The sequence below is a fragment of the Homo sapiens genome, chromosome 2, assembly GCF_000001405.40.
Source record: "Homo sapiens chromosome 2, GRCh38.p14 Primary Assembly".
Lineage (NCBI taxonomy): Eukaryota > Metazoa > Chordata > Mammalia > Primates > Hominidae > Homo > Homo sapiens.
This window is the reverse complement of record NC_000002.12, coordinates 137,489,619-137,516,512: the sequence shown is the minus strand read 5'-3', so window position 1 is coordinate 137,516,512 and position 26,894 is coordinate 137,489,619. Positions and strand designations below refer to the sequence as shown.

The 26,894-nt window shown below is 37.3% G+C and overlaps 1 protein-coding gene, 1 long non-coding RNA gene and 1 pseudogene across 4 annotated transcripts in view; 2 read left to right on the top strand and 1 right to left on the bottom strand.

The window, feature by feature from the left end:
- The window catches only part of THSD7B (thrombospondin type 1 domain containing 7B), a 912,174-nt gene that overhangs the window by 161,206 nt on the left and 724,074 nt on the right, over positions 1-26,894 (bottom strand). The window lies entirely within an intron of this gene.
- On the top strand, positions 4,303-4,415 carry RNA5SP105 (RNA, 5S ribosomal pseudogene 105; annotated as a pseudogene).
- Positions 9,077-16,669, top strand: LOC105373634 (uncharacterized). Of its 2 annotated transcripts, none has more exons than XR_923361.3 (3): positions 9,077-9,162; positions 11,722-11,837; positions 16,584-16,669. It is a non-coding gene; the product is annotated as an uncharacterized LOC105373634 (long non-coding RNA). The 2 variants fall into 2 exon arrangements; XR_001739718.2 differs by having other exon boundaries at positions 11,722-11,814; positions 16,584-16,666.

Here is a 26,894-nt window from a genome sequence, read left to right as displayed (position 1 = left end):
TCAACATGCTTGATCATTTTCCTTTCCCCAGTGCAGTTACCCTGGTAAAAGGCTGGAGGTCTCCTTGGGGAAGGATGAGAGAAAGACTAACAGTGTAAATTGTTGGTAATGTAGTGGGGTCCTTCGTCAAGGGGACCTGGTCTCTCCTTCATTCAAGTAGTTCTGGATATGTAAACTGGTTCAAGTCTGGAAATTGATTGAGGATCAGTGATTCTCTGTTTTTAGAATTCAAATTAGTCTTTTGACCTGCAAGTTTTCTGCTTATATAAATTAAGTAGGAATGCAGGAGACTTCCTACAAATTTCACTTTTAGGAACACCGTGATTAGTTAGCCCATGTCAGAGCTCTACACAAGTCAGACTATTCTAACTGCTGCTTTGCCTCTGCTGTCCATTATGGCAGCTACACCCACCTTACCTTTGTTGGTTGAGTGCTGCCACTTGGCCCTAGCCAACTTGAGATCCAATTATTCCCATTGCATTTAAATGTTGTAGTTGAGTGACTGCAGTTCCCATTGTTAGATCTGACATGCAGAGAAGAGCAATTACAGGCCTCCTCAAAGATGCAGGTGCTGCCATCACAAATCTATTTCATAAGTATTGGTCAAGGATATATCTTCTGGACTCTCCCAGCTGCGATTAGTAGGTCTGGAGTGAGTAATCCACTCTACCATCTCAATCTCCTTCAGCCTTTGGATCCCTTCCTCTACATTAAACCAAGGGAGATTAGGCATTTCCAGCTCACTCACAGTGAGTCATCTTTAATCTATATTTCAGCTAACCAAGGAAATAAATTATTAGAAACTTTTTTAACTCCCTGAGCTGCAACATAAAATGCAGAATCCCTACTTAGTGGGCCCAAATAAATAAATTCAGCCTGATTCAACTCTGTGTTCCTTCCACCATCATTCCACACCCTTAATATCCATTCCCATTCCTGTTCTCCAGATTTCTGCTTATATTAATTAGAAAACTCAAGTAGTTCTTTTCAAGTGGCATGTACCTCCTTGTGGGTCACACTCTGAACCTCACCTGTAGGAGCCTGGTGGGATTTTAGTTTAGTTATAGGTCTAGAAGCAAACAGGGGTGTTAGGGGAGGGTCCTGAGGAGAATCAATATTGTTTTGTCTGGCAACTGCCTCAGGGGAGGCCATCATTATTGCCTCAGGCAGTGCAAGGTTTATCACTTCAGACAAAGGTGGAAAGGCGATGGCAGCATGGGACCGGGAGGGGATGTTGCCACTAATGGGAATGGGGAAGCTGTTTCTTCTGGCAAAAAAAGTTAACCAGAGTTTACAAACTCAGAGTCTCCAGCTTCATCAGGGTCCTCCCACACATCCCCATTCCAAGTCGCAGGGTCCTATTCTTTTCCAGTCAATGTCCTCACTTTAACGGTAGACACCTGGTGAGGCTGTGCATGCACCTTTCATTGCAGGTCAGCCACTCGCATGATAAGAGGTTGTGTCTGGTGTTCCAAAATTTCAGCGCTTTCTCTACAGGAGATAAGACTCTCACTCAGGGCAATCTTAGCAGATTTGATGTTCAGTATTTGCTTCTGAAGCCGGGAGTTAGAATCCCTGTGTTCTTCATTTTCTTTCATCACTTTGTCCAGTGAACTTAGGAGCAACCAACCAACTTCATTATGTTCCTTGGTTCTCCACATATAGTCAAAGGTATTATGTTTAGAGTCACCAAACACCTTGACTCTCACGAGTGGTGAATCAGGAGTGTCAAATGCATTTATTTTGCATAAATCTCTACACAGTTCACACCAAGGACTATTAGTGTTCTCCATACTATTAGAAGTAGAGTCCTTAACATTTTTGGGTTCATCATATTAAGCAGCCAACTCCAGAAACTCCAAAATCAACAAAAGAACTTTGTCTTTAATATTCTGTTCCTCTGGAACCACTCTTGGTACCAAAATCTATATTAGTCAGAGTTCTCTAGAGGGACAGAAATAATAGGATAGATATATATAAAGGGGAGTTTATTAAGGAGTATTAACTCACAGTATCACAAGGTCCCGCAATAGGCCATCTGTAAGCTGAGGAGCAAGGAAGCCAGTCCGAGTCCCAAAGCTGAAGAACTTGGAGTCCAATGTTCAAGGACAGAAAGCATCCAGCACAGGAGAAAGATGAGGCTGGGAGGCTAAGCCAGTTTAATCTCTCCACATTCTTCTGCCTGCCTTTTATTCTGGCCACACTGGCTGCTTATTAGATGGTGCCCACCCGGATTGAGGGTGGGTCTGCTTCTCCCAGTCCACTGACTCAAATGTTAATCTCCTTTGGCAACAGCCTCACAGATACACCCAGGAACAGTAGTTTGCATCTTTCAATCCAATCAAGTTGACACTCAGTATTAACCATCACAACCATATCACATATACTGTCATATATATAGGCAGTAAGAGAGGATGCAAGGTCAATTTCAAGGAATTTATCAATTTTCAATTGATATCTAGTGGGAAAATACTGTTGATAATGAAATAGATCAATACAGACAGGGTCAAGAAAAGAGAAATGCAGTGAGGCATAGAGATAGAAAGCAACTGTGTTGCTACTTTGAGGCATATAAAATTATAACTTATAAAAATAAATGAAGTGACACAAAGTATGTGTGTCTGGCACAATTGACATTTCCTCTCAGACCCTCTGGATATCACTGTCTCCTCGTACTCAGGCTTTGTTCATAGAGATTCCCAGCTTCCACTGCTGCCTCATCCACAAACTCTCCTGGTTGTCTGGACAACTTCTGAATAAGAATCAGGTTCCAGAATAATCCTCACGGTGCTAGCTCTAGCTCTACCTCAGGATCTGTTTTCTAAGATACTCTAAATAAGACAGAAAGTAAAAAAATAATAATAACTTTTTTAATGAAATGGTTACATATTTTAGTTAAATTATTTTTGGTCAAATATATACTAGAAGATTTTTGTTATATTTATTATGTGTCTGTATATCATCAAAAACTTCAAATTATAAAATGCATATAATATATGTATGCCTACTTTGCAGTATTTGGAGAATAGTTTTCCTAGCATAAATTATTAGAAGATTTTATCTTTCCTTTTATGCCTCATTGATCAAGCCTAGATTTATTTGCATATGATACTGAATTCTACTCTCTCCAAATCCTCTACTTGCAATTAAAATATCAATCCTATAGCAATGTAATTAATTTTTTAACAACTCACTTTATTATGCCCTTTCAGATATGTGTCGCAGTAAAACTTCCTATTGTCCCCAAATTCTCAGTCTCAACAAATTAGTGCATAATCTCAATGTAACCTACTGCTTTTTATTCTTCACTGGTTCACTATGTTAAATATGGGGATTAATTAGAGAAATAAACAGTATTGTTTAAAAAAGTGACAAATACGCCCCAAAGGCTTAGAGAACCTGAGTTATTTAATGCGATAAAGTTTGAGGAAGACACTAGGAAATATCAGGGATCCTTATTGTACACCCTTTGGAGGTTTTCAGTAGTGTTGCTTTGAAGGTAAATGACAGTCCTTGATAACTTTTGATATTATCTTAGGTTTGCCTCTCTAATGATACAAAGTGATTATCCCACTCTGCTTGAACTTGAAATCCTGAGTAGATGACCTTGGGCAAGTCATTCATCTTGTTTCTGCTTAGTTTACTCTTCTGGAAAGTGAGAAAAATATTATTACTGCCTCATGGGGGTAAGTATTAGCTGTGAGGATAAAAAGAATTACTACATGTAAAGGATTTATAATTGTACCTACATAAGTTAATCTTTATATCCATGATATCTTTTTCATAGGCTTTTCAGGGTCCTTTAAAAGTAGTGAATAAGGCCAAGCGTGGTGGCTTACGCTTGTAATCCCAGCACTTCAGGAGGCTGAGGCAGACAGATCACTTGAGCTCAAGAGTTCAAGATATGTCCTGGGCAACATGACAAAACCCTGTCTCTACAAATAATACAAAAAATTAGCTGAGAGTGGTGGTGCGTGCCTGTGGTCACAGTTGCTCGGGAGGCTGAGGTGGGAGGATCCCTTGAGCCTGGGAGGTCAAGGCGGCAGTGAGCTGTGATTATGCCATTGCTCTCCAGGCTGGGCAAGAGAGTAAGACCTTGTCTCAAAAAAAAAAAAAAAAAAAAAAAAAAAGGAAATAAATGTAACTAATAATCATTCAAAAACAAACAAAACTTACATATATTCTGATACCATGAATGATTTAAATCCCTTAAAATAAAATGAAAAAAATTGTACTTTGAATAATGCCTTGATAGAAAATGTGGGTGATTACACTGTTTAGAAAGCAAGTTTAAAATTGCTCTATGGCCATATCACCCTGAATACACCCATCTCATCTAATCTTGGAAGCTAAGTAGGGTTGGGCCTAGTTAGTACTTGGATGGGAGAAAAGTTTAAAATTGGTCAAAATTATTCAAAATAATTATTTCCAGACATCAAAAGAAGATAAAAGGCAGGTAACAATTTGAACATTGTTTGTGCATGAAGCCTGCTAATTCATCAGGTAAGAATAGTGATTTTGTGGCCACTGGCTGGGACATTCCTACTGCTTCATATAGGGTGGCAAAATCCAATAGCTTTACATTTGGTGTTTGCAGACTCAGTTCAGGGCAGGTGGCAAAGGAATAAGAAATTTAAGTGTAAAATTTTGGAAGTTAGGGAAATGTAAAAAGGTTGAAATAATAAACTCTCCATACATCCTCAGTTTACTCCTAAACTCCCCTGCAGGTGAGGCACAGTAATGATCCAGGTAAAGACTGAAAGCCTAGGGGGAATTAAGGATTTGTTGTCTCTGAGTCTATTTACCAACCAACAAACAGCTCGGGTGGCAGAGGATGGAAGCCTTACTGCATGGGGCCAGTAAGCCTAACCCAGTAAGTAAGAGGTTAGCATAACCTCTGTGTATGTCATTGGCTGACCCTGAAACTCTACAAGGGAACCAGGCTATCAAACACTAAATGGACATATCAAGGACTGCCTCCTTCAGAGCAGCAGATTTTCCACTTACGTCCAGGGAACTTAACTGCCTATTAAAACAAAAACACAACAACCCTTTGGTTGCAGGGGGGACCTGAAACTGACATGAAAGTAACTGCAACATAACATCTGCATCATATCATCTCCATTGTCTAGTTTCTCACAAAATTACTAGTCATGCAGAGAAACAGAAAAGTTATCCATGCACAGAGGGGAATAAAACAGTCTGTAGAAATTGACTAGGAGTGTGTGGACTTAGCAGACAGAGACTTTCAAGTAGGTATTCCAAATATTCTCGAATTTAAGAAAAATACATTCAAGGAATTAAAGAAAATTAAATATGTTCAAATAATAAAAAATACAGATAAAGATCAAACAAATAAACTTCAGAACAGATCAATATCCAATCCAAAGAAGAGAGAGGAAAAAATGTTTAAGATAAATAAACAGAGATCTGTGACACACTATTAAGCATTCCAACTCTCATACAATTAGAGTCACAGAAGATAGAGAGAAAGGAGAAAAACCATATTTTAACTAAAATGGGCAACACCTTCCCAAATTGGTGACAAATACTGAGGTATAGGTATATGTGGCATAGTAGTTAGTATACCTCCCTTCCAAATCATGAAAAATATTAACTAATGCATCAAGAAGTTCAACAAACCCCGAATAGTATAAACACAAAGGAGACTGCACCTGGACACATGACGGTCTAATTTCTAATAGCCAAAAATAAAGAGAAAATCTTAAAAGCAACCAAAGAAAAATGACAAATCATATACAAAGGAAAACTATATGATTAGTGGCAGAATTCTCTTCAGAAACAATGGAAGCCAAAGGAGACACTGAAATTGCTAACAGTTAAAAAAAAATTGTTGCTAGGAGAATTGCACTATAAAGCATACTAAAAGAAGTCCTTTGGTGGAAGAAAAATAACACAAATGCTAACTTATCTACATTGGAAGACATGAAGAGCATCAGAAATGGTAAGTATGGTGTAAATATATAAAATACACACACATATGTATTTCCTTTCTTCTTTAAGATTTAGAATTGTGTGAAGCAAAGTTATACTATATTTGGGGGTTTATAATGCATATTATAATGCACAGATATAATATACATGACAATGCAAAAATAATGGGGGAAAATGGACCCGTACTTGTGCAAAATTCCCACATTTTATCAGAAGTCAGGGTAAATTACCATTAGATTATAATCAATTCAAGATGCATGTTATAATCGCTATAGCAATCACTTTTAAAAAATAAATATAGCTGAAACTTAACTAGGGGGGTAAAATGGCTATTAAAATTCATCGAAGATAGAAAGAATAGAGGAATAAAAAATAAATGACGGAAATAGAAAATAAGTAATCAAATTCCTTATCTAAATCCAATCATACCAATTACTATATTAAATGTGAATTCACTAAACACATCCAGCAGTAGAGATTTTTGGACTATGTAAAAAATAATCTCCAATTATTTAATATTAACAAGAGACATAATTCTAATGCAAAGACATAAATAGGTTGAAAATAAAGGGAGAAAAAAATGTTAAAACCAAACGAACAATAAATAAAAGAGAACTAGAATGACTACACCAATTCCAGATCAAATAGCCGTCAAGAAATGAAATGTATTAAAGAAAGAGATTTCATATTTAATGATAAAAGGGAATAACCAATCATAAACCTATAACAATTACAGACATCTAAGCCTCTAACCACAGTCTTTATTTCACCTTTATTTCACAGCAGTGATTGCAAAGAGGCACAGGGAAAATTTGGGGGATAATAGAAATGTTCTAAAACTTTTGGTAGTAGCCAAAACTCAGTTACCAATGCACAGATGGGAATAAAACAGCCTGTAGAAATTGACTAGGAGTGGACTTAGCAGACAAAGACTTTCAAGTAGCTAGTCTAAATATTCTCAAATTTAAGGAAAATATGTTCAAAGAATTAGAGGAAAATATGTTCAAATAATTAAAAATATACAGATAATGACCAAACAAATAAAATTCAATATAGATCAATACCCAATCCAAAGAAGAGAGAAAAAAATGTTTAAGATAAATAAACAGATATCTTGCTGTATACTTAAAATGGCCAAATTTTAATGTGAATAAATAAAGGTATACAAAATAAATAAAGGAAGAAAGGAAGGGAGGAAGGAAGGAGAAAGAAAGAGAAAAAGAAAGAAAGAAAGAGAAAAGAAAGAGAGAGGAAAGAAGGAAAGGAGGGAAGGAAGAAAGGAAGGAAGGAAAGAAGGAAGGAAGGAAGGAAAAAGAAAAGAAAAGAAAAAAAGACAGGAAGGTGACCTTAGGCTACACAGGGCTATCATTAAGTTGTGCAGGACAAATATATTTGGTGGACTCCTGTCTCTTTAAACAATTTGAGTCCTGCAATATTAGTGTATCAGCACCGTTCATATGATTCTGAAAAAGAAATACTGCTTTGGCCAGGGAGAATGATTCACTGGCCAGGTTGCCTTCAGGAATTAGTGTCAACCTGCCCATGGTGCCCCAGGACGACCTCATAGTGGTAAGCCTTGGAACTTCTTGGAGCGCTGCTTAACTCTGCACGGTAGAACAGCAGGTTGGAGAGTGCCCTGAGGCAGAAAACAGGTCAGGTTCCCATCTAGCTCCAGGTCCAAGTCCAGCTCAGGTCTCTCCTCTGACCACACTGCTGGCCCTGGACGATTCTAGGCACAGGGTATTTTCTATAAAGGAGGGTGCTCCAACCCATAAGTTTCCCTGAGAAGGGACAGGGCAGCACTTGCCCAGGCATAAATTGAGTACTGAGACTCAATTTATACACATGAGCTCCAGCTTAACTAATTTAGTTTAAAATTGTTTTATTTAGCCGGTAATCCCAGCACTTTGGAAGGCCGAGGCGGGCAGATCACGAGGTCAGGAGATTGAAACCATCCTGGCTAACATGGTGAAACCCCGTCTCCACTAAAAAAATACAAAAAAAAAAAAAAAAATTAGCCGGGCATGGTGGCAGGCGCCTGTAGTCCCAGCTACTCGGGAGGCAGAGGCAGGAGAATGGCGTGAACCCGGGAGGCGGAGCTTGCAGTGAGCAGAGATCCCGCCACTGCACTCCAGCCTGGGCGACACAGCGAGACTGTCTCAAAAAAAAAAAAAAAAAAAATTGTTTTATTTAGCAGAAGCCTGGCAGGAGAATCACTTGAGCCCAAGAGTTTGAGAATGCAGTGAGCCTGAGTGTGCCACTGCACTCCAGCCTGGGCAACAGAGCCCTGTTTATAAAACACAGCAACAAAAAGCAAAACCAGAAATTTAAAAAGAGAGAAAGAATTTAAAAAGTAAATACAAGTGGACAGGGATTTCCCTCAGAAAACTGAAATCTAAACTCAGTTTATCTTGTCATTTTTCAAGTAACACTTTAAGGTACTTTAACAAATACAGCACTTACTGTAAACCAGTCGCTATTTTAATTGTTTTGCAAATACTAACTTTTTATTACAAGAACCATGTGAAGTAGATACTATTATCTTTCTTACTTTTTAAGATGAGGAAACTATTATACAAATATGTTAAGTAACTTGCTCATGTTTACACAGCCACTTAGAGGAGACAGAATTTGATCCCAGAAAGCCTGGTTCTACAATGCTGGCTCAATTTGTTGACTGGGGTAATTATTTTAGCCCAAATCATCTTTCGAAAGTAATCAATTTCGCCACACATAAATCAAAACAGAAAAGGAAGAATGAAAGGAAGGAAGGACAAAAGCAAAGATTAATGAAAGGAAGGGAGGGAGAGGGAAAGAAGTAGAGAGAGAGGAAAGAAGACAGAAAAAAGGAGAAAGAAAAAGAGGAAGAAAAAGGAAACAGAAAAAAATGGATTTAAACATAGTAAGAAAAATTCAGGTTTGGAAATTAATCTCCTATTTGAAGGGTAATTATAACTTTACAGGAACTTTATTCCCATTTATTACCTAATTCAGGCCCTTATTACAATCACAAAGGAGGAAGCGGGGATTTATGACTTCATGCAGTTTAAACCACCTGCCTGCCTAAGTGGCAAAGCTAGCTGCTCACAGGACAGCTCTGAATCTGACTAAGCTTATTCCATCAAACTTCACTCCAGAATTTTCAAATCACCGAACCCCAAAGTTATGGGAATTTGTTGCCAAGGGAGAAAGACAGTGGAATTTCTGGTATGATTTATGTTCTAAAAATCCCTGAACTATAATACATGACTGGAGTTTGACCTCCCCAAGGCTGGCAATTCTTTGACTTTGTATTAAGGTGGCTCTATTTTCTGTGGTTTGAAGAGAAGCCGGAAGGTTACTTTCTGGCACTGGAGTGAGAGCCATTTGTAATTTCTCTCCCATTGCTAGCTGTCATTGTAAGACGAGGGTTGACAAACAGGCCAGATTTTGTATGAATGAGAATACTCAGTTCCTGGAGGGGTTATCTATTTTCCTTTCAAGGATACGATTATGTACTGTGCTGCCCTCTCAAATATCTTGAGGCACCTGGAGTCTGCCAGCTGAGCTTGTATTGTTAAACTGAAGTAAACAAAACTTTCTTCAGAAAACACCAATTATGTGATTGTTAGTTCTTTCAAACCTCTGGAGATGAGTGGGTCTGCAGAGTTTAAGGTTGCTAATTCACCTTTCTTGAAATTTACTGTGCAGGACTCCTTTCTGATTCAGATATTTTTACTATTAGCTGCCTACTGAGCCCGGAGGCTGGGTCATCTTGCAGTAGCTTCCACAACATTCCCAGGCTACGAGAGCTTACAGTCCATTAGCACTGAATCAGGTTTTCATCAGGAGGTCATCCTAAAACCTGAAAGAGCCCTGTAAAAGAGTGAGTGCTGAAGAGAAGAATGTCCACTCTCTGAAGCATTTTGTGTGGTAAATGCTAATGGAGAAGTCTGTCTGTGGGCTTTTTCAAACCTCCCTCCTGAGTAGTTATCTATGTGTCTCCACATCTCCCTGTGCTTTCCACAAAGCAGCGTTTGAGAGTCAGAATCACAGAGAATCACAGGCAGGTAGGTTCAGTCTACTTGGAGAAATACAGGACTTGTTTTAATTGGTTTCCATTAGCATAGAATCAAGAATTAGAATCAGTTTTTATTCAGGAACGTTAAAGAATCCAAAAGAAGGAAAGAAGATGCCTAATCTGACCAGAAAATGGTTTACCCAAGGACATATCCAACATCTAAAGAAAATCCCCCTTGTGTGTAAATGGTGAAGTTTTTGAAGAAGAGGCATCTGAGGGCTTTTTGTGGCCACGACTCAGTTCTGAAACAAAGCCAATGACTGTGTTAGCCTCATTCTAGCTTCTGTAATGTGAAGCTGTAACTTCTGCCTTGAGTGGTTATGAAGGGTATGCTTTGCTTTGAACAACCTAATGATAGGCCTGGGTCACCTTGCCTTGGCCTCCTGTCTCCCACTCAGCCGCCCTCCTCCTCAGGAGGAGTCCCCTTCCCCAGGGATGTGCTTTTCAAACACAAACAGACCAATCCAGAGTCCACACCTCAACTACCTCCTTTACAAGCTCCTACACACAGGATCACTATCCTTCTGTCCTAATCACCCCTAAGCCAGGTACCAGATAATTAAAGCTGGCCACTATGCCAGTTATTATAACTAGCCAATCTTAAGCCTGCTTACCCTGCCTTATCCATTTCTTCCCTGGAAAACCATGATAGAAGCTCTTATCACAGTCCCTGCACTCCCTCTGCTTCCTGACAGCCCTGGTGCTATCCAATGTGGGCCCCACTACATGGAGTGCCCCTCCTCTTGGGAACTGTGAGTATACCAACTGTCTTTTCAATGGCAGTCACCTTCTCATCTGTTGGCCTTGCTATATATACCTCTAGTTTTCCATTAATCTACTTTATTTTAAAACACTGACTATTATGCAAAGTTGCCACTCTGTACAACTTTATCCCAGGACTCCGTTCGCAGAATGTTGGTCCAGGCATGATCACGTGGCACAGAGCAGTCATCTATAGACTAGACAGTGGCCTATGAGTTGGGCTGGTACAAAAGCTCTGCGGAACTGGGCTTCCCAGGTTGCCAGTGAATGGAACAGCAATGAATCCACAAATGTGGATGGACTGACCAATAGCTAAGTGTTCCTACCATTGTGACCCAACCTGTGGTCCAGGGGCCAGTGCCATAAGCAGCTCCTGGAACTTGGAGCCACAGAAGCTCATGTCCCTCCCCAGAGCCACTGAATCAGAATGTGCATTTGAACAAAAACCCTGAGTGATTTCTATGCATATTAAAGCATATCATCTTCTCTTATTAAAGTCTGAAAATGACCACTTGGTCCATGCTTCTTGTGGGTTGCTCCCAGCCTGTGATGACTGCAGCAGAGATACAAAGCAGGCCCCTTCTTGGGAAATGTGGGACAGGCAAATTGGGACAGGCTCAACGATCCTCCAATGGCCTTCCTGAATTCCTCTTAGGACTGCATTCTAAAATATTTGCTCCTCCCTCCCTCCCTCCTTTTCTCCCTACCTCTCTCCCTCCCTTCCTCCCTTTCTCCCTTCCTGCTTTCCTCCATTCCTCCCTTCCTCCCTTCCTTGTCTCCTTCAGTCCAGGTCAGACCTGCATCATGGCAAACTGGCTCTCCCAGCACCACTGTATTTTCTCTCACAGTCGTTTTCTCTAATACATTGCCTTTAATCTTGTTTTGGAGTCTGCCTATTGGACAGCCTGGATTAACACACATCTCTATACTATTTTACTTGGCAGCTTTCCTGATCTGCAGAAACTATAAAACTGACCCAATAGATATGGATATCGCCTCATCAGCAAAGCAGCACTCTCGCATATTCTTTCCTGAAGGTATAATCCAACATTAAATTCAGGTAGATGTTGGACCCAAGATGACTCCACAGAAAAGACAAATAATGAACAGTCTACCAAATCTTCAGTGGGGATCTAATTTTTGTGTGGTTCAATCATATTTGTATTATGTCAATAATCATTTTAGGTAAAGATGATAATACCTTTCCTTGTTGAAAGCACATAGTTAGACTTGCTGCTATTTTGGACATCCTCATAAAGAAAAACAGTCAACTACATGGATTAGATGGGAGCAGAATAATCCAACACCAACATTTTCAGCAGCATGGCATGAGTTGAGGGAGAATGAGTAGGTCTTAGATTAGACAGATGCAATAATGACTATCATCTTCTCAAAAATACACAGAGGAAGGATTTCTTTTGCAATTACCTTTTATTCTATACATAAACTATATACATACTTTTCATTAATTTCTTCAATAACCTATAAATGTTATAAATTCAATTCCACATCCTAAAAATACATATTGTAAACCATCACCCATGGAGTCAGAGGTATTGTAAAGAACTGAGATGAACCAGAAGTGGCCTTTAAAGGGTAATTAGAGGGAAAGCTATGTTCAGGAACATAAAGATGACAATCACTGCACCGAAGCTCACTTTCTCTCTCTTTTCCTTTTTCTCTTTCTTTTTTTTTTTTCTTTTTTTTTTTGAGATGGAGTCTCACTCTGTCGCCAGGCTGGAGTGCACTGGCATGATCTTGGCTCACTGCAACCTCTGTCTCCCAGGTTCAAGCGATTCTCCTGCCTCAGCCTCCCCCAGGTAGCTGGGACTATAGGCGCATTCCACCACGCCCAGCTAATTTGTGTATTTTTAGTAGAGACGGGGTTTCACCATGTTGGCCAGGATAGTCTTGATCTCTTGACCTTGTGATTCACCTGCCTCAGCCTCCCAAAGTGGTGGGATTACAGGCGTGAGCTACCGCGCCCGGCTCACTTTCTCTTTTCTATACTCTATAAGTGGGTGTTGTTTCCGCTTAACAGAGGAGGGAACTAGGGTTCACAAATATTATGTACCTTGAACTGAACACTATGCATCAAGAAAGTAGGTAATCTGGAATGTAAAAGCAGATCTGTTTTGCACCAATGCCTGTGCTGTTTTTATGACTCTTCAGCTGCATCACTTGATATTCTTCTCATGAAAAAGGCAAAAATATAACATTACATAATAGCTACATGTACAGCCATGTAGAATTTTCAAAATTCTTTCTCATGTCTCTGTCCCTCAGTACGTAACATGTTTATTCATACAGGGTGTAGGACAAGCTTAAAATGGGGAATAGCTGTGATTTTGAACCAAGACCAGGGTCTAGGGCAACAGTGGCGGCAACTAGAAAAGGAGACTTTTTTGTGAGGAATGTTTTTTATACTGATTAGGGTAGGAGAAATATTCTGTGTTATGACTGGGCTGCTACTTACACAAGTGTATACAACTCACTGAACTCTATTGTATACTTAGGATTTTACTATATACAAAGTAAACTTCAACAAAGTTCATTTTAAGAAGAAAAAAAAATATGTCCCAGAGTTATAACAATGGTATGCTTGCTTACAGATTATAATATATAGTCCATTTGGATGCATGATACTCTGTACATAACAATGATAGAATGCATATTTTGTTTAAAAATATGTATCTTTCCCTGCTGTTTCTTTGGAAAGACTTATGACTGTTGACAGCCTGTTATTATGTAATATATGTAATATGCAGTAATGACTAGCATCTTCTAAAAATTACAGAGTGAATGGACTTTTTCCATTTATATTATATTCCATACATGGATATACACATTTTTCATGATTTTCTGTAGGCCTCTAAGAATATTATAAATTCATCAACCTGAAAATAAACATTATAAACTATAAACCATGGAATCAGAGATATTGTTGTGCGGGGCTGAGATTAAACAGAAGTAGTTTTCAAAGTAAGAGTAATTTGATGACAAAATATATTTAGCACTGGATTAATCAAAGTGGGGACTATCTCAAGGATTAAATATCCAAGTTTATTTATATTTGTCTAAGTTATTGATTGTAGTTATGATGAGAATTCCAGCTTCCCAAAGTTAGTTGATTTCAGTGCATTTTTGTCTTAATTCACAGTAAAGATAGCTTGATTCTGAAGCATTTACTTAGGACCAAGTCAAGGTTAGCAAGAAGCTAGGTTGTATTCATTTCACCCTTGAGATTTTATTAATGGAATCAATGTACTCCATTTCAAATGTAAGATTTGTCTCTGACCTTTCCCTCTCGTTGTTTTTCTCTCTTTTTCTATCCATCTGTTCCTATCTCTGTATCTGTCTCTCTCTCTTTCTCTTTATATGTGTACAAACATACATATATACACACATACATATATACGTGTGTGTTTATCTATCTATTTATCTATCTGTCAGTAAGGATTTATGTTGCATAGTTAACTACTAACCTGACTTAGTATCTAATTTACTAAGATAACCATTGAAGTTCAAAACTATTATAATGAAAGAATATTTATTGTGGGAGAATAATCAATCCAGGGATGTTATCCTCAATGCACAGAACCTGACTTCATCATCATTTATTATCTAATATATTTTCAGGTTATACTAAAACATTTCACTACACATCATTTATTGGCTTACGAGTTTCTTGTATTTAGGTTTAGGATAAACACTGAAAGCAGACAAATCAACACTTTAGCTTGCGCATTGATCATCAGTACCCATTTAATCCTTTCCTGTTTAAATTACTTAATTCATTAGCCAGATCACAGCGGATAAAGCACTTCCAGTTGCATTCAGGGGAAGCTCAACATCGTTCACTGGGGAAAGCCCTGCTTAGATTTCTGTTAACTACCCTCACAATTAACCACTAAATTTAACTTATCTCTGCTATTCTGTGGCTTCAGAGATGCTAATTTCCTTGCTAACCCAGAGTTAGATTAGTAAATCATAGGCAATTTTCTTGAGGAAATCTTGAATTAAATGCAAATTACTCAAGTGGTTTTTATAAGTACAATCATATTGGTAATGCATCACTGATTCTTTTCGGGGAGGGAGTTGTGATTCTAACTTTCATTCTACTTTAAGGTAAGGTTCCTATTGCTGAAGAAACCTATAGAGGTATCATCTAAGATGAATAATAGCAAAATAAATGGAAGAATGAATTCATTTTCATAATATGTCATAGTATAAAACCTAATCAAAAATTTTGAGATTATATATTTTGATCTCTTAATAAAATACCTTTACCAAATTTTTTTTTTCAAAAAGTGGATGCAGAACCCCTCAATGTAATATTGAAATGGCTCTAATATTACGGATTAATTCATTCAACATTCCATACTATTGGGCTTGTATTCAGATACTTCATAAAAAGAAATATACCATATTCTATTAAAAGAGGTAATTTTGCTAGATTGTGGAATCCTCTTCTTTTCACTATGTGAATAATCTTCAATGTTGATTAATAAAATACATTTGCATATGTCAATAGCATCTTATTCCAAAAGGGGCAGATGCAGTGAATGTTTAGTTTTATGATTTCATGAAAGGATGCTAGGTGAAGCAATATACCCCCTGACAGAATCACCCTGTTAAAGTAAAAGTCACAATTCAGGGTGATCCTAAATGTTAACTGCCCCTGCCATGCACTTGCTTTTACCCTTGTGTGAAGTACTGAGATGCTTAATCTTACAAATCTAACAAAACTATAAATCTTTGTTCCTGATTTAAACCTTTCTAATATAAAAAAAAACCATGAAACATAAAAGGTACTAAGTATAAAGTCACAATTCACATTTGCAACAATCCTTTCTGGTGCAATTACCAAGCTCTAAGCTCTGGGCAAGGCTGTAAGGAGGCATTGACTGACCTGAGTGGATACATAATATGTGCTCTTCATGTGCATAGAAATGCCCCCGACATGTTTTACTAACATGTGCATAAACAAAATGAAATATAGCAATGAGTGCTTACTGGATGTCAGATTCCATATTAGGAGCTACACACATATCATTTCATTTGATTCTCACAGAAACACTTGACATACATATTAGTATGTTCATTTTACGATTTAAAAGATAGCTTCACAGAGCGTTAAATGACTGTCAGGGTTGCACTGGTGGTAAGTGATACGGCTGGAAAGTAAACATAAGTGTGCCTGACTTATAATTTAGACCTTCCTAATTTGCCTCATTTTCTTTGTTGGTGTGTCAACCCTCTAGGCACTGGAAAGGCTAAATTTTAGAACAAACTGCAGCACATGTTAAACTGCAATGACAGCAGGGCCGTTAGCCTGACTACGCATGTCTAAAATGTCTAGATCTTTGCTACTGAGTCAAAAAAACATGTTTCTGAATTATTCAAATAATTGCTTTAATTTGTTTTTCCTGTGGTAGATTGAACCTTAGATTCAACTTCTATACTTAGCTTGAGTTGTTACAATATCATTTAATCTTATGCACTCAGATAGGTTTCATTACTCAATATTCAGTTCTTTATTCTGATATATCAAAGTGGGTATTTTAATTAGGTCAGGATTTAAATAGTGATGGTTTTTCAAGGAAAGAGGAGCCTTTGATTGGAATTGGGGGGTTGTTGTCTGAACTCCATGTATAAACAGTGGGGTGTCTTGAAACATATGGTTTTGTCATTTTTTCCTGTATTGTCAAGGATTACATACTGCTATAGTCCTTTATCATCGTATATTTCTTCTAATCTGCATTCCTTTTAATGTAGAATATTTTATCTTTATCTTTTCCTCCAGGATTTATATAGTTTCAATATGCTCCTCATTGATTCCAGATTAGACTGTATTGCCTGCCCTCATGAGATGTGTTTCTCCTCCAAGAATTCCTGATAGTCCTCTGGTGTGTATGTGTGTGCACTCATGCATTTGGCTTTCAGCTACAGCCACCATATGGTATGTCTCAGTCTGCCCTCTTCTGCTCCAGCTCATGTTCCCCATTGTTGATAGCTCTGTTCACGAAGCCAATTGAAGGAGCTTCAGTATTGTCATGTCTCATATCCATTGGTGAGAACTTAAGCAATTCGATGCTTTTTAGAGATAAAGATTCAGATGAATCTTATGAAAACCTTTCAGTGTTGAAAGGCTAGTACTCTTTGCCATAGATGTCAAGAGATCAAAAGTAGAAGATGAGATGGATCACCCAAAGCAAAACTGGGAGTAGGTGCAAAATTTGAGGAATGGGAACATAACGAAATGTTGCAATGGGAAAATTATTTTGTTACTTTGCTTATGCAAGCATTGATATGATGGTATTAGGGCTTCAGCCAGGCTGAAAATATCCATACACATTTTTTTTTCTGTAAGTACCAAGATATATTTAAAGTTTCACAAAATTCTGCAGGTTAGACAAGTCCCTGCAATCTGTATACTATTTTAGATTTACAATGAACCATTGAGACTAAAAGAGGAACTGTACACTGTAATAGAATAGATGGAAGAAGCAAATGTCCTCTGTACTTCACTAAATATAATTGGTCACATTTCACCAATAATTGAGATTTTTCTGATCTTGCCTCATCTACTTACAGGCGACTACCACACTTACCCTTCTCCTGCAAGAGGCACACAGCCTACCCTGAGTTTTCCGGTGGTTCTGAACAGGGGCCCAAAGATGCCTGTGACTCAGGCTCTCCATCACCATTACGTAAGGGAGATCCTGTACCTCCTTGCCCACTTCCTGAGGGAGACTCAGTATTGCCCCTGCTAGTAGTCCTGGTGACAATGCCCATATCCATGGCAAGGGAGCAACCTGCCTCTGATCTTCCAAAGGTCTCCATGAGATTCCTGAAAAAAGTGGGGAGGTATTCCCTTCTTCAGCATGAGGCAGCTCACTCTCACTTAGGCCTCTGCTCTCTCAGGGTTTTGGAAGGGCTACCATGAAGATAATGTTGTCACAATATAACACCTCTCTCCCCTCTTATAATTAGTCCAAAGGGCCAATTCCTACCCCTTCTCCCTTTCTCTTTTGTTTCTTACTGGATGAAGGATTGCCATGGGTGACTACAACACAACCAACCAACAATTAAGAGCTCCCCTACCCCCAGATTCCATTCTCTCTTCAACAATAAAAAAAAAATACCCCCATCCAATAGATCCAAAGATGGTTCCCTGGCCAGTAGACTCTGAAGCTTAGGTTAGGATTGGTGGATGAAGCTGTTCTAGATCATTTGATTTAAGAAGACATATAAAATCACTGGGTCAGATGCTTTCATTTAAGGATAGGGAATTACGAAGTAAGACGCACAGCCAAGTTTCAGAACTACTTGATTATGAAATCAATTCAATTGTCTAAATCATGATAATATACTTTCCACATGAAAAAAAAAAAAAAGACTTTACTGTCCCTCCTACAGAGATGTGATATACTGACCTAAACAGTCTTAATTCATCTTTTATTTCTTGTGCCTAACACGGTATCTTGGCACATGATGGGGAGCTCAATAAATACATCCTTAATGAAGAGAAATAGAAGATACAACAATCCATAGATTAATTTAATTTCACACTTATCTGAACATATTTAACAGATCACTAGAAATCACCAAATTTATTAGCTGTTGTAGTACCATTTTATATAAGGGAAAGTTCCATATGCCTTGGATTATTTAATATGCAATGGTGGTAGAGCCAGCGTGCTGAGGTGCCACAAGTCCTTGTATAGTGTTTAGTGTCCAGCATTGTGAGGAAAGTAAATGATCATCAAATATAAGTTCTCGGCAGGAAGGTTACACTTCGCTTCATTTTAATAGAAAAATATTTCCTTGGGGTTTTTGAGCCTTAAAAGAAACAAGCACTCCATGAAAACCAATATTAGTTTACCCTCTTAAAGTTACATATGTGGGACTTTAAAAATGTGAGCCAATGAAGGAGTTAAGAAACCTTTCTGTCATTTAATAATGCTTTTATTTCATGAGGGTAATTTTAGTCAACAGTCTGCCAGTTGAAATTAAGTTATACTGCTGTCAGAGATGTTTTCAAAGAAATGAAGTATTTTTATCCATATGCGAGAGGAAATTCTTCATTGGGGAAATACACACACACACACATAACACACACACACACATACATATATATATACAGATATGTATGTATAATTATATGTTTGATACATATATATTCTTAATTTGGCTATATTCTATCTTGGAAAGCTTGTATGCAATTGGTACATTTGGAAGTGGGTCTAGTCTCAAAACAAGGCAGGGAGGATTTTGGCTAAAATCATCATAGATAATATAGATTTCAGGGAAGACCTACATAGTTTACTAACAAGTTGAAAAAATTAGGGTCATGTGAAATGTTTTTAAGGTCTACGATTATTTTACCAGACTGTAGTTGAAAGAAAAGTTAATTATATTAAAAGTTATCTTACCATCAATGTTAATCAACAGAATGTTATTTTCTTTAACAAGAAAAAGAGGATTAAAGTGAGATCTAGTGTGTGTGTGTGTGTGTGTCTGTGTGTGTGTTGTGTATGTGTTGTATGTGTGTCTATGTAGAATTTCATTCATAAGAAGCCTAAAAAAGTAACTACCAATCTTTCTGGAAGTCTTTGCCTGCATATTACAATTTAGAAAAAGGTTAGGCTGAATTAGTAGTATTTATTAACCCTGTTTTGAATTACAATCCCTTAGAGGACCAAATAAAAATTATGACTATTCTCTGCAGAATAGAAAGAATGGACATACAAAGAATCACATTTGCCTTCCACTTCTGCAATTTGCTGACCCTAGCAGACTACACGAACTAGATGATTGGAACTCCTCAAGGGTAACCTCTGTGTATGTGAATTTCCGTATCTCTAAGACCGGGCACATGATAGGCACTCAAAAAATTATGCCTGAATTAAAAATTATCTTTATGAAAAAAGTTAATGAGAAGTCACAACTCTACAGAAAGAAATTAAATCCATTTTGTAAACTGCCTCTACTCATGAGGTATTTACAACATAATGATCACTTTAGAATCCTTCCAATTACAAGAGTTTATCTTATAAATAAATGGATCAGAGATTTATGCTGCCAAAAGAGAGCAAATATTGCCCGTGGTTTTTAAACGTGCAGTTGAAGGAGAGAAATTATTGATGCAATGGTAATTATACTGGTAATAACTTAAAAGAGCTTGCTGTATGAGAGAAATCTGCACATAATAAAAGCTGGCTATACATTTGAGAGTCTAAAAAAATGCACACAAAACAAAAAGGACTCAAAGAGGTAGAAAATAGGCCCATTATTGGGAGGGGACAAAATTTGGGGTAAGAGCGCATATTAACATGCCTAGATTTTAAGTTTATCTTTAAAATGTACAAAGTGCTGGATTGCCTGGAGGGAAAAGTACATTAATCTGGTCATCAGAAGGCCAGCTGTAGTCCAAGTCTATCAGTCTTTGGCCGTAGGAGACCTTAGGAAAGTCAGCTAAGAGCATTGGACCTGGAATCTACTCATCGCTTGCAAAATGAGAGGGCTCATTAACTGAGCTTGTAAGTCTTTGGTAGCTTTAAAAATGTAACTTTCTTTGATATATCTCTACTTGCAGAATTTCAAAGGATGGCTCAAACTACACTCACCAATTTCAAAATTTTCTCTCTTAAATTTTTGTGACTCTGATTTGGAGCCCATGCTATTTTAAAAACTCAGTAAAACAGATACCCCAATAATTGAGTCTAAATTGAGATGTGATTCACTAGAAATAAAATTTTTGACTTTTATTTTTTAATATGAAAAATAAAAATTCTGTATTATTTGTAGAAAATAAAATTGGCCAATAAATTTAGCGGGCTTGCCAGGGGGGTAGAACTGGAGTTTTGATTGCTAGTTTTGGCAGAATATGTCATTGAAAAGTTAAGAGGCATATATTTTGTCCCACTACAAATATCAAAGCTCTATTGGAGCAGAACTACCTTGTTTTGAAAATAATCATGGGAACAGTCCCTTTTTGTTGTGTAACCACTCACTGCTCAGAAATGTATGGGATAAGGGGGAATTTGGAGAGGCTGAGAGGCAGTTGGATACTTGGGACCTGTCAGCAGGCTCTTGCACCAATCATTTGGATGGTTAATGAGAGATGAGTGTTGGGTCTTTTAAATTACTAACTTACTCACTCTAGAGTCCCTCCCAAGATAATCCTTGGGGCGATGAAATTTTACCCTTGGAAGTGGCTATTTGCATTGAGAAGAACACTTCCGTAAGACTGAGGGTGTAAACCCCAGGGTAGACCTCCCTGGATTTTGGAATTACTATGGGTGATAGATTGAGGGAGTTAAGATCTAATTTTCTGCCAATACCAACAAGCGAAAAGGGTTCAGGTGGGTAAAGTGGCTATAACAGCTAGAGATCAGAAGATAGCTGCTTTTAAGGAACAGAAAGAAGAAAAGGCAAAGGGCCTATTGCCTTATTGTCAGGCTATAGGAAATATTAAACCTGCCAGTTTTTCCTGGGTATTATTTAATTTTAAATAGTATATTTATTAAAGTTATTATGCATTTTCATCAGGAACCACTAAATAGAAAAAAAATAATCCAAATTGGCTGAAATAACATTTTGAATACACAATACTTAGCACTGTGCAAAGGATTCTACCTACCATAGAGAGAAACAGACAAACAACAAACAATTAGACTGTGGTAAGTAATGAGTGAGAGAAGGAATCCCAGCATGCCAGGAAAATGGAAAGTAGCACTCTGTGTGGTGTGGGGTAGAGATGGTAATCAAGGCAGCATTCTTAGAGAAGGTGATACAAAATATGGGTATTAAAGCATGTGTAGGAGTTACAGAGGTAGAGAATGGATACATGGATTGAGTTGGCAGAATGAGAATGAAAGTATACTGTTTGTGGGAAAGAAAAGATGTTTGCATGTAATTCTAGATGACTGGGAGAGGGGTGTCCATAGAGGCATAGCACCAGATCACAAAGGGCCATGGTTACAAAGTCAGGGAAGTTAAACTTTCTCTTGATATAAAAAATGGTAGCAGGAAAATGAAGAAGTTAAAAGTAGATGTAAGGTAATAAAAACATTCAATAAGAGTAAGAGTGTGGTAGGCAGAGATGGTCTGGTGAGTTTAATAAATGCTTCCTAAGAAATATGAGATTGCCATGTTGGTTCTGCTTGCTGGAATAGATCCTTACAAAGCACAGGAAAATGGAACACAGAAATATCCATGTGTCACATGATCACAGGCTCATTTCTGACTAGGGTACAGGATCTCAGCTAACTATCATCTTTATTTCTTTTTTTCTGTCCTTGACTCTCAGAAAGAAATACATTAGAAAAAAATCTGGCAATAAATGCTAATTTATTTTTTAAAGGAGTAAATTCCAAGGAATTTTTTTTAGTTGATATAGTCTGCTCTCCTGAATCTTATGAATCTTGATCTACTGTACTCTCATTTATAAAAATGAAGATGTTAAGGAAATAGAGGGGGTCTGATCATCAGAGAAGAGTCCATTTATTTCATTCAGCATACTATGCTCTATTAATAAGGCTGTGAGGCAGACTAATAAATTGTAAGCTATTTTCCACAGGAAAGATTAAATTAGTAACTTTCTGTTAACCACAGCTTTAAAATTTAATAATGAATGCTCTCCTTTCATGCATTTTGGTTAATCAAGAGGCAGGAAGATTGATTTCCTGGGAAAATGATATGCTATTGTTCAATTTATTTACTAGTAAAATTTTACATTCAAAAATGTCATGCATCAAATTTAATTATGAAGCAGCTGATTTCATATAAAAATAGGTAATGTACTATGAGATGTGAAGATTTCAACTGAGGTATTAACAGCATCACTTTCCAAACGACACAAAGGGTATCATATCCAGGGCTAGGTACGTTTCCCCTTGGATTGGCATCACTCTTCTTAAAATACATCTGATGAAAATGAAAGAATAAAAAATTAAATAAAGAAAATAGGAGCAGGGGATAACACATTTACATTATGTTGCTTTTCTCTCATCTGCATTTTAGAAGACTGCAGACTTAAAGGTTGTCAGCAACTTGGCTTATATCTGCAGTGGCTTTGTTTCTCTCCAGTGCATAAACCAAAGGTAAAATTGGACTCACGAGCTAACCTTTACCACCAGGCATTCTTTTACTTGAAGATGATAATAGACTTTCCTTGTGGTGGAAGTTGTGCGCCATGAGTGCCCTCTCTTGTGTCACCGTACGAGTGTGTAAAGTAAGAAGTGCAGGCAGGGAGTAGCAGGACTTGGCTCTTAGGACAACAGAAGACAGCTGCATTGCAGGTCATTAGCCTCAGAATGTTCTTGGATTACATATAATAAAGTTAATCTCTTACTGACATTTAACCTGCCTCTTTGTGGCCAAAATAATAAAACCCACTCTACAAAGGGTTAGAGAAAGCAATTGTTAAAACTATAAAGAAACGTCTTCAGTAAATGCAGTATCTAACTTCCTGTAAATCTCTTTCTGGAAAAGATTCAAGGAATACTATGGAGAACATACTAAAACAACAACAAAGAACTGTTGTTCAAAAATACTTTTCTTTCCTTTTTCTTTTCCTGTTTTTTTTTTTTTTTTTTTTTTTTTTGAGAGAGAGAGTGTCACTCTGTTGCCCAGGCTGGAGTGCAATGGTGCAATTTCGGCTCATTGCAACCTCCTCCTCCCAGGTTCAAGCAATTCTCCCTCCTCAGCCTCCCAAGTAGCTGGGATTATAGGCACCCACCACCACGCCCGGCTAATTTTTTATATTTTTAGTAGAGACGGGGTTTCACCATGTTGGCCAGGCTGATCTTGAATCTCTGACCTCAGGTAATACCCATGTCGGCCTCCCAAAGTGCTGGGATTATAGTGTGAGCCACCACGCCCAGCCCAAAGATACTTTTCTTAGTTTATTGCTAATAATACTTGAAATTGTATCATGTTTTAAGTGCTAAGTTCTTGTGTTATTTATTAACGTGCTAATTTATGCCAAATACTATGTGTGGTGCTTTAGATAAATCATCTAATTCAATTGTGGCAGAATTCCTAAAAAGTAACCATTGTTTTATACCTTTTTATAGAGGAGGAATAAATGGGGCCCAGAATGTCTACACAAGTCTTCTTGATTCTAAAGCTCAAGCTCTTTTCATTAAACCTATCTACCTCCTCTTTACTAACCTTGAATTACAGATGTTTCTTTGGCAAGGAAAAGTATTGAGGGCAGATGAGAATACTACATCTACCAGTTATTACCTACTTATACCACAGTACAACTTGTTTCAATTGAGATGATTTCTTCTCTAGAGTTGGTATAGTTGACACAAAAGTAGAGGTGTGGAGATTAATAAGCCTAAATAGGAGAGGCATGGTAAGAGACTCCTAGCAGGCACATGTATATAATTGATAATGAGTGGGTAGGGATGTTGAATCTGGAAAATAGGTATAAGATGGAAAGAAAAAGGAGTCTCAAAACTTAAATTTGTCATTTTGTAGTTATAAAATGGTAGTAAGCAAGCTTTCCCTAAGTGGGTTTGGAACTTGTTCAGAAAGTAGGCAAATGGAGTTTCATTTCCCTTGCTTTGAAGTACTGTAACCTAAAGAAGCAGAAAAGGAGTTCAGGGTTAAATGTAAAACCGTAAAGAATGAATTTAGTTGAAAATAGAGCTAATCAAGAGATTGCTCTTGTATTCCTTATTGAGATGCAAAGATTAGCTCAAACCAAAACCAGATTAGTAGTAGTACTCTTCAAGAAAAAAAAAATAAGAAAAAGAATTGCTCTACATTTTTCAAAGACCAACACATCACTGATGGTTTAATAAAATCAGAAAATCATGACATATCGAATACTAGAAACAATCTAGAAACTGATGGAGCTATACACTAAACTAGGAACAATTTAATTCATCTCTTTCCAGAATTTTTTTTCCCAATTTGTCCTCTTAAATGGCTTAACTTTCTTTCAATTGACACTAATAGTGGGGAAGACATAAATCTTTTTAAAAGGAACTGGAATGATTTCAACATGTGTAGCATGAAACAGGTCTTGGCTCAGAGTTGTGGCCAACACAGTAAACTGGCTTCTAGCATCCTGGTATGAAGACATTTGTCAACAGCTCAGCCTTTGGGCCAACCCCAATCTAAACCTCTCTCCACATGATGACGGAATACTAGTCCATTTAGCTAAAAATATTGAGATGAAGGGAGTAAAAGTTAACTATGTGGCTTGGTATCATATAAATACAATTAAGCACATGACTTGATTTAATATATGTTTTCTAGTTTGTGTTATGTAAACCCAGATTAATGGGCAAATTCAGAAATAGTAATAGTTCTATCAAAAACATAGTAATAGTACCATCAAAAACGTTGGCCACACCTATAATTCCTGATAGTCTTTTCCATGATCAATTCACAAAGGTGAATGTATTTCCTTTTTATCCCTCTTCACATTTCCCTCATTTCAAATCTAGCTAAGGGGAAAAAAGGAACGATTTCTTTTGTATACACACAGCTGTGTGTATGTTAGGGAGACGTGTTTCCTTCAAGAGTTAACTGAAAAAGCCAATCTTTGTTTGGTTAAGAGGTTATAGTTTCATTGCACAGTGTCATTAGACACATGGAAATTACTCACCCTTGGGTCAATGTGTCTCTAATCTAAAAATACGGGGTCACATAAATAACTCTATAAACCTTCATTAGTCTATGGAACTCAGATTCAGATTTTAAAATAAACCTTTCAAGTGATTGTTACTAATGTGACCAAACACACAAATGTAAACGAAGGTTTCGAAAAACCATGTTTGGATAAAATCTGGTTATTTGGATAATCCACAACATGCTTGAATTTATTATTTTTCTAACAATTGTCTTCGTAATTAAAATATATTCATTAATGCATACATGCAAAGATTTTTTTGGACAACTTATGGACTTTCTAGACTATGTCCATTATCCCTGGGACCCTCAGACCCTAGTAGGATAAACTTTCATATACAGGATTAGCAAAGTTATCACTTTTCCTACAACAATGCTTCAGCTGGCATTTCTGAGTGACAAAAATAAATAACACCAAGAGTGAACCCTAATGTAAACTATAGATTTTGCCTGATAATTTGTGTCAATGTAGTTTCACCAGCTGTAAAAAATGTAGCACTCTGATGGGGGATGTTGACAGTTGGGTAGACCATGATGTATGTGCAGGGGCTGAGGCTATATGGGAAATCTCTGTACCTTCTGCTCAACTTTGCTGTGAACCTAAAACTGCCTTAAAAATAATGTCTAATTAAAAAAAGAAAAAAGTAACTTTTAAAGCTCCAGCTGCACCCTATGAAAATATTTAACTTATCTCACTTTCTAACATTATTAGGAATCGATTTTTTTAGATATGGTCTTTGTGTATTTAAACAGGGAAGTGTCATCAATGTAAAAACATAATTAATATTTTCACTTTGGATTCTACACCATCAAAAAGAAAGTTCTGAAGAGTCACTGTCTTATCAAGCATGACCAAAAGTCGCTTGCTCTTATTTGAGACTTAATGGGTATCCTTTGCATGCTGAATGAATTCTAGTGGCCAATTACTAATGGTTAGGAAATGCCCATGTCTTAGCTATACTCACTTTAATACAGTTTATATCATCATCCCTGCTAGCTTGGTGATTACTCTGATCATATGGTATGTTCAATGTATTTGCATTTGTCCTCAGTGAAACTCAAAATACCATTGATTTCTCTGATGGATTTTTCTAATGAATATCTATTGTTCTTGAGTTGCTCAAGTGTTTTCTCTACGTGACACCACACACACACAAAAAAAACAGAACATTGTTCCACAGATTTCACAATCAGTGATGTTCATGCAGAGATGTGGGAAAAAGACAGTAAAGGAGGGAGAGGTTTTTTTCTTTAAACTATCAGTGGTTTAAAATATGGTGATTTCAGGCTAACAAAATATAAAAACATTCCATATTGAGGATATATTTAGAATGTGTATTTGTGTGTGTGCACATTAGGAATGATGCTGGGTCCTGATCCAGGATTTTCTCTTTTTAATCATTCAAATTATAATTAATCTGGGTCACATCATCTACAGAGTGACTCAACAGTGATTTTA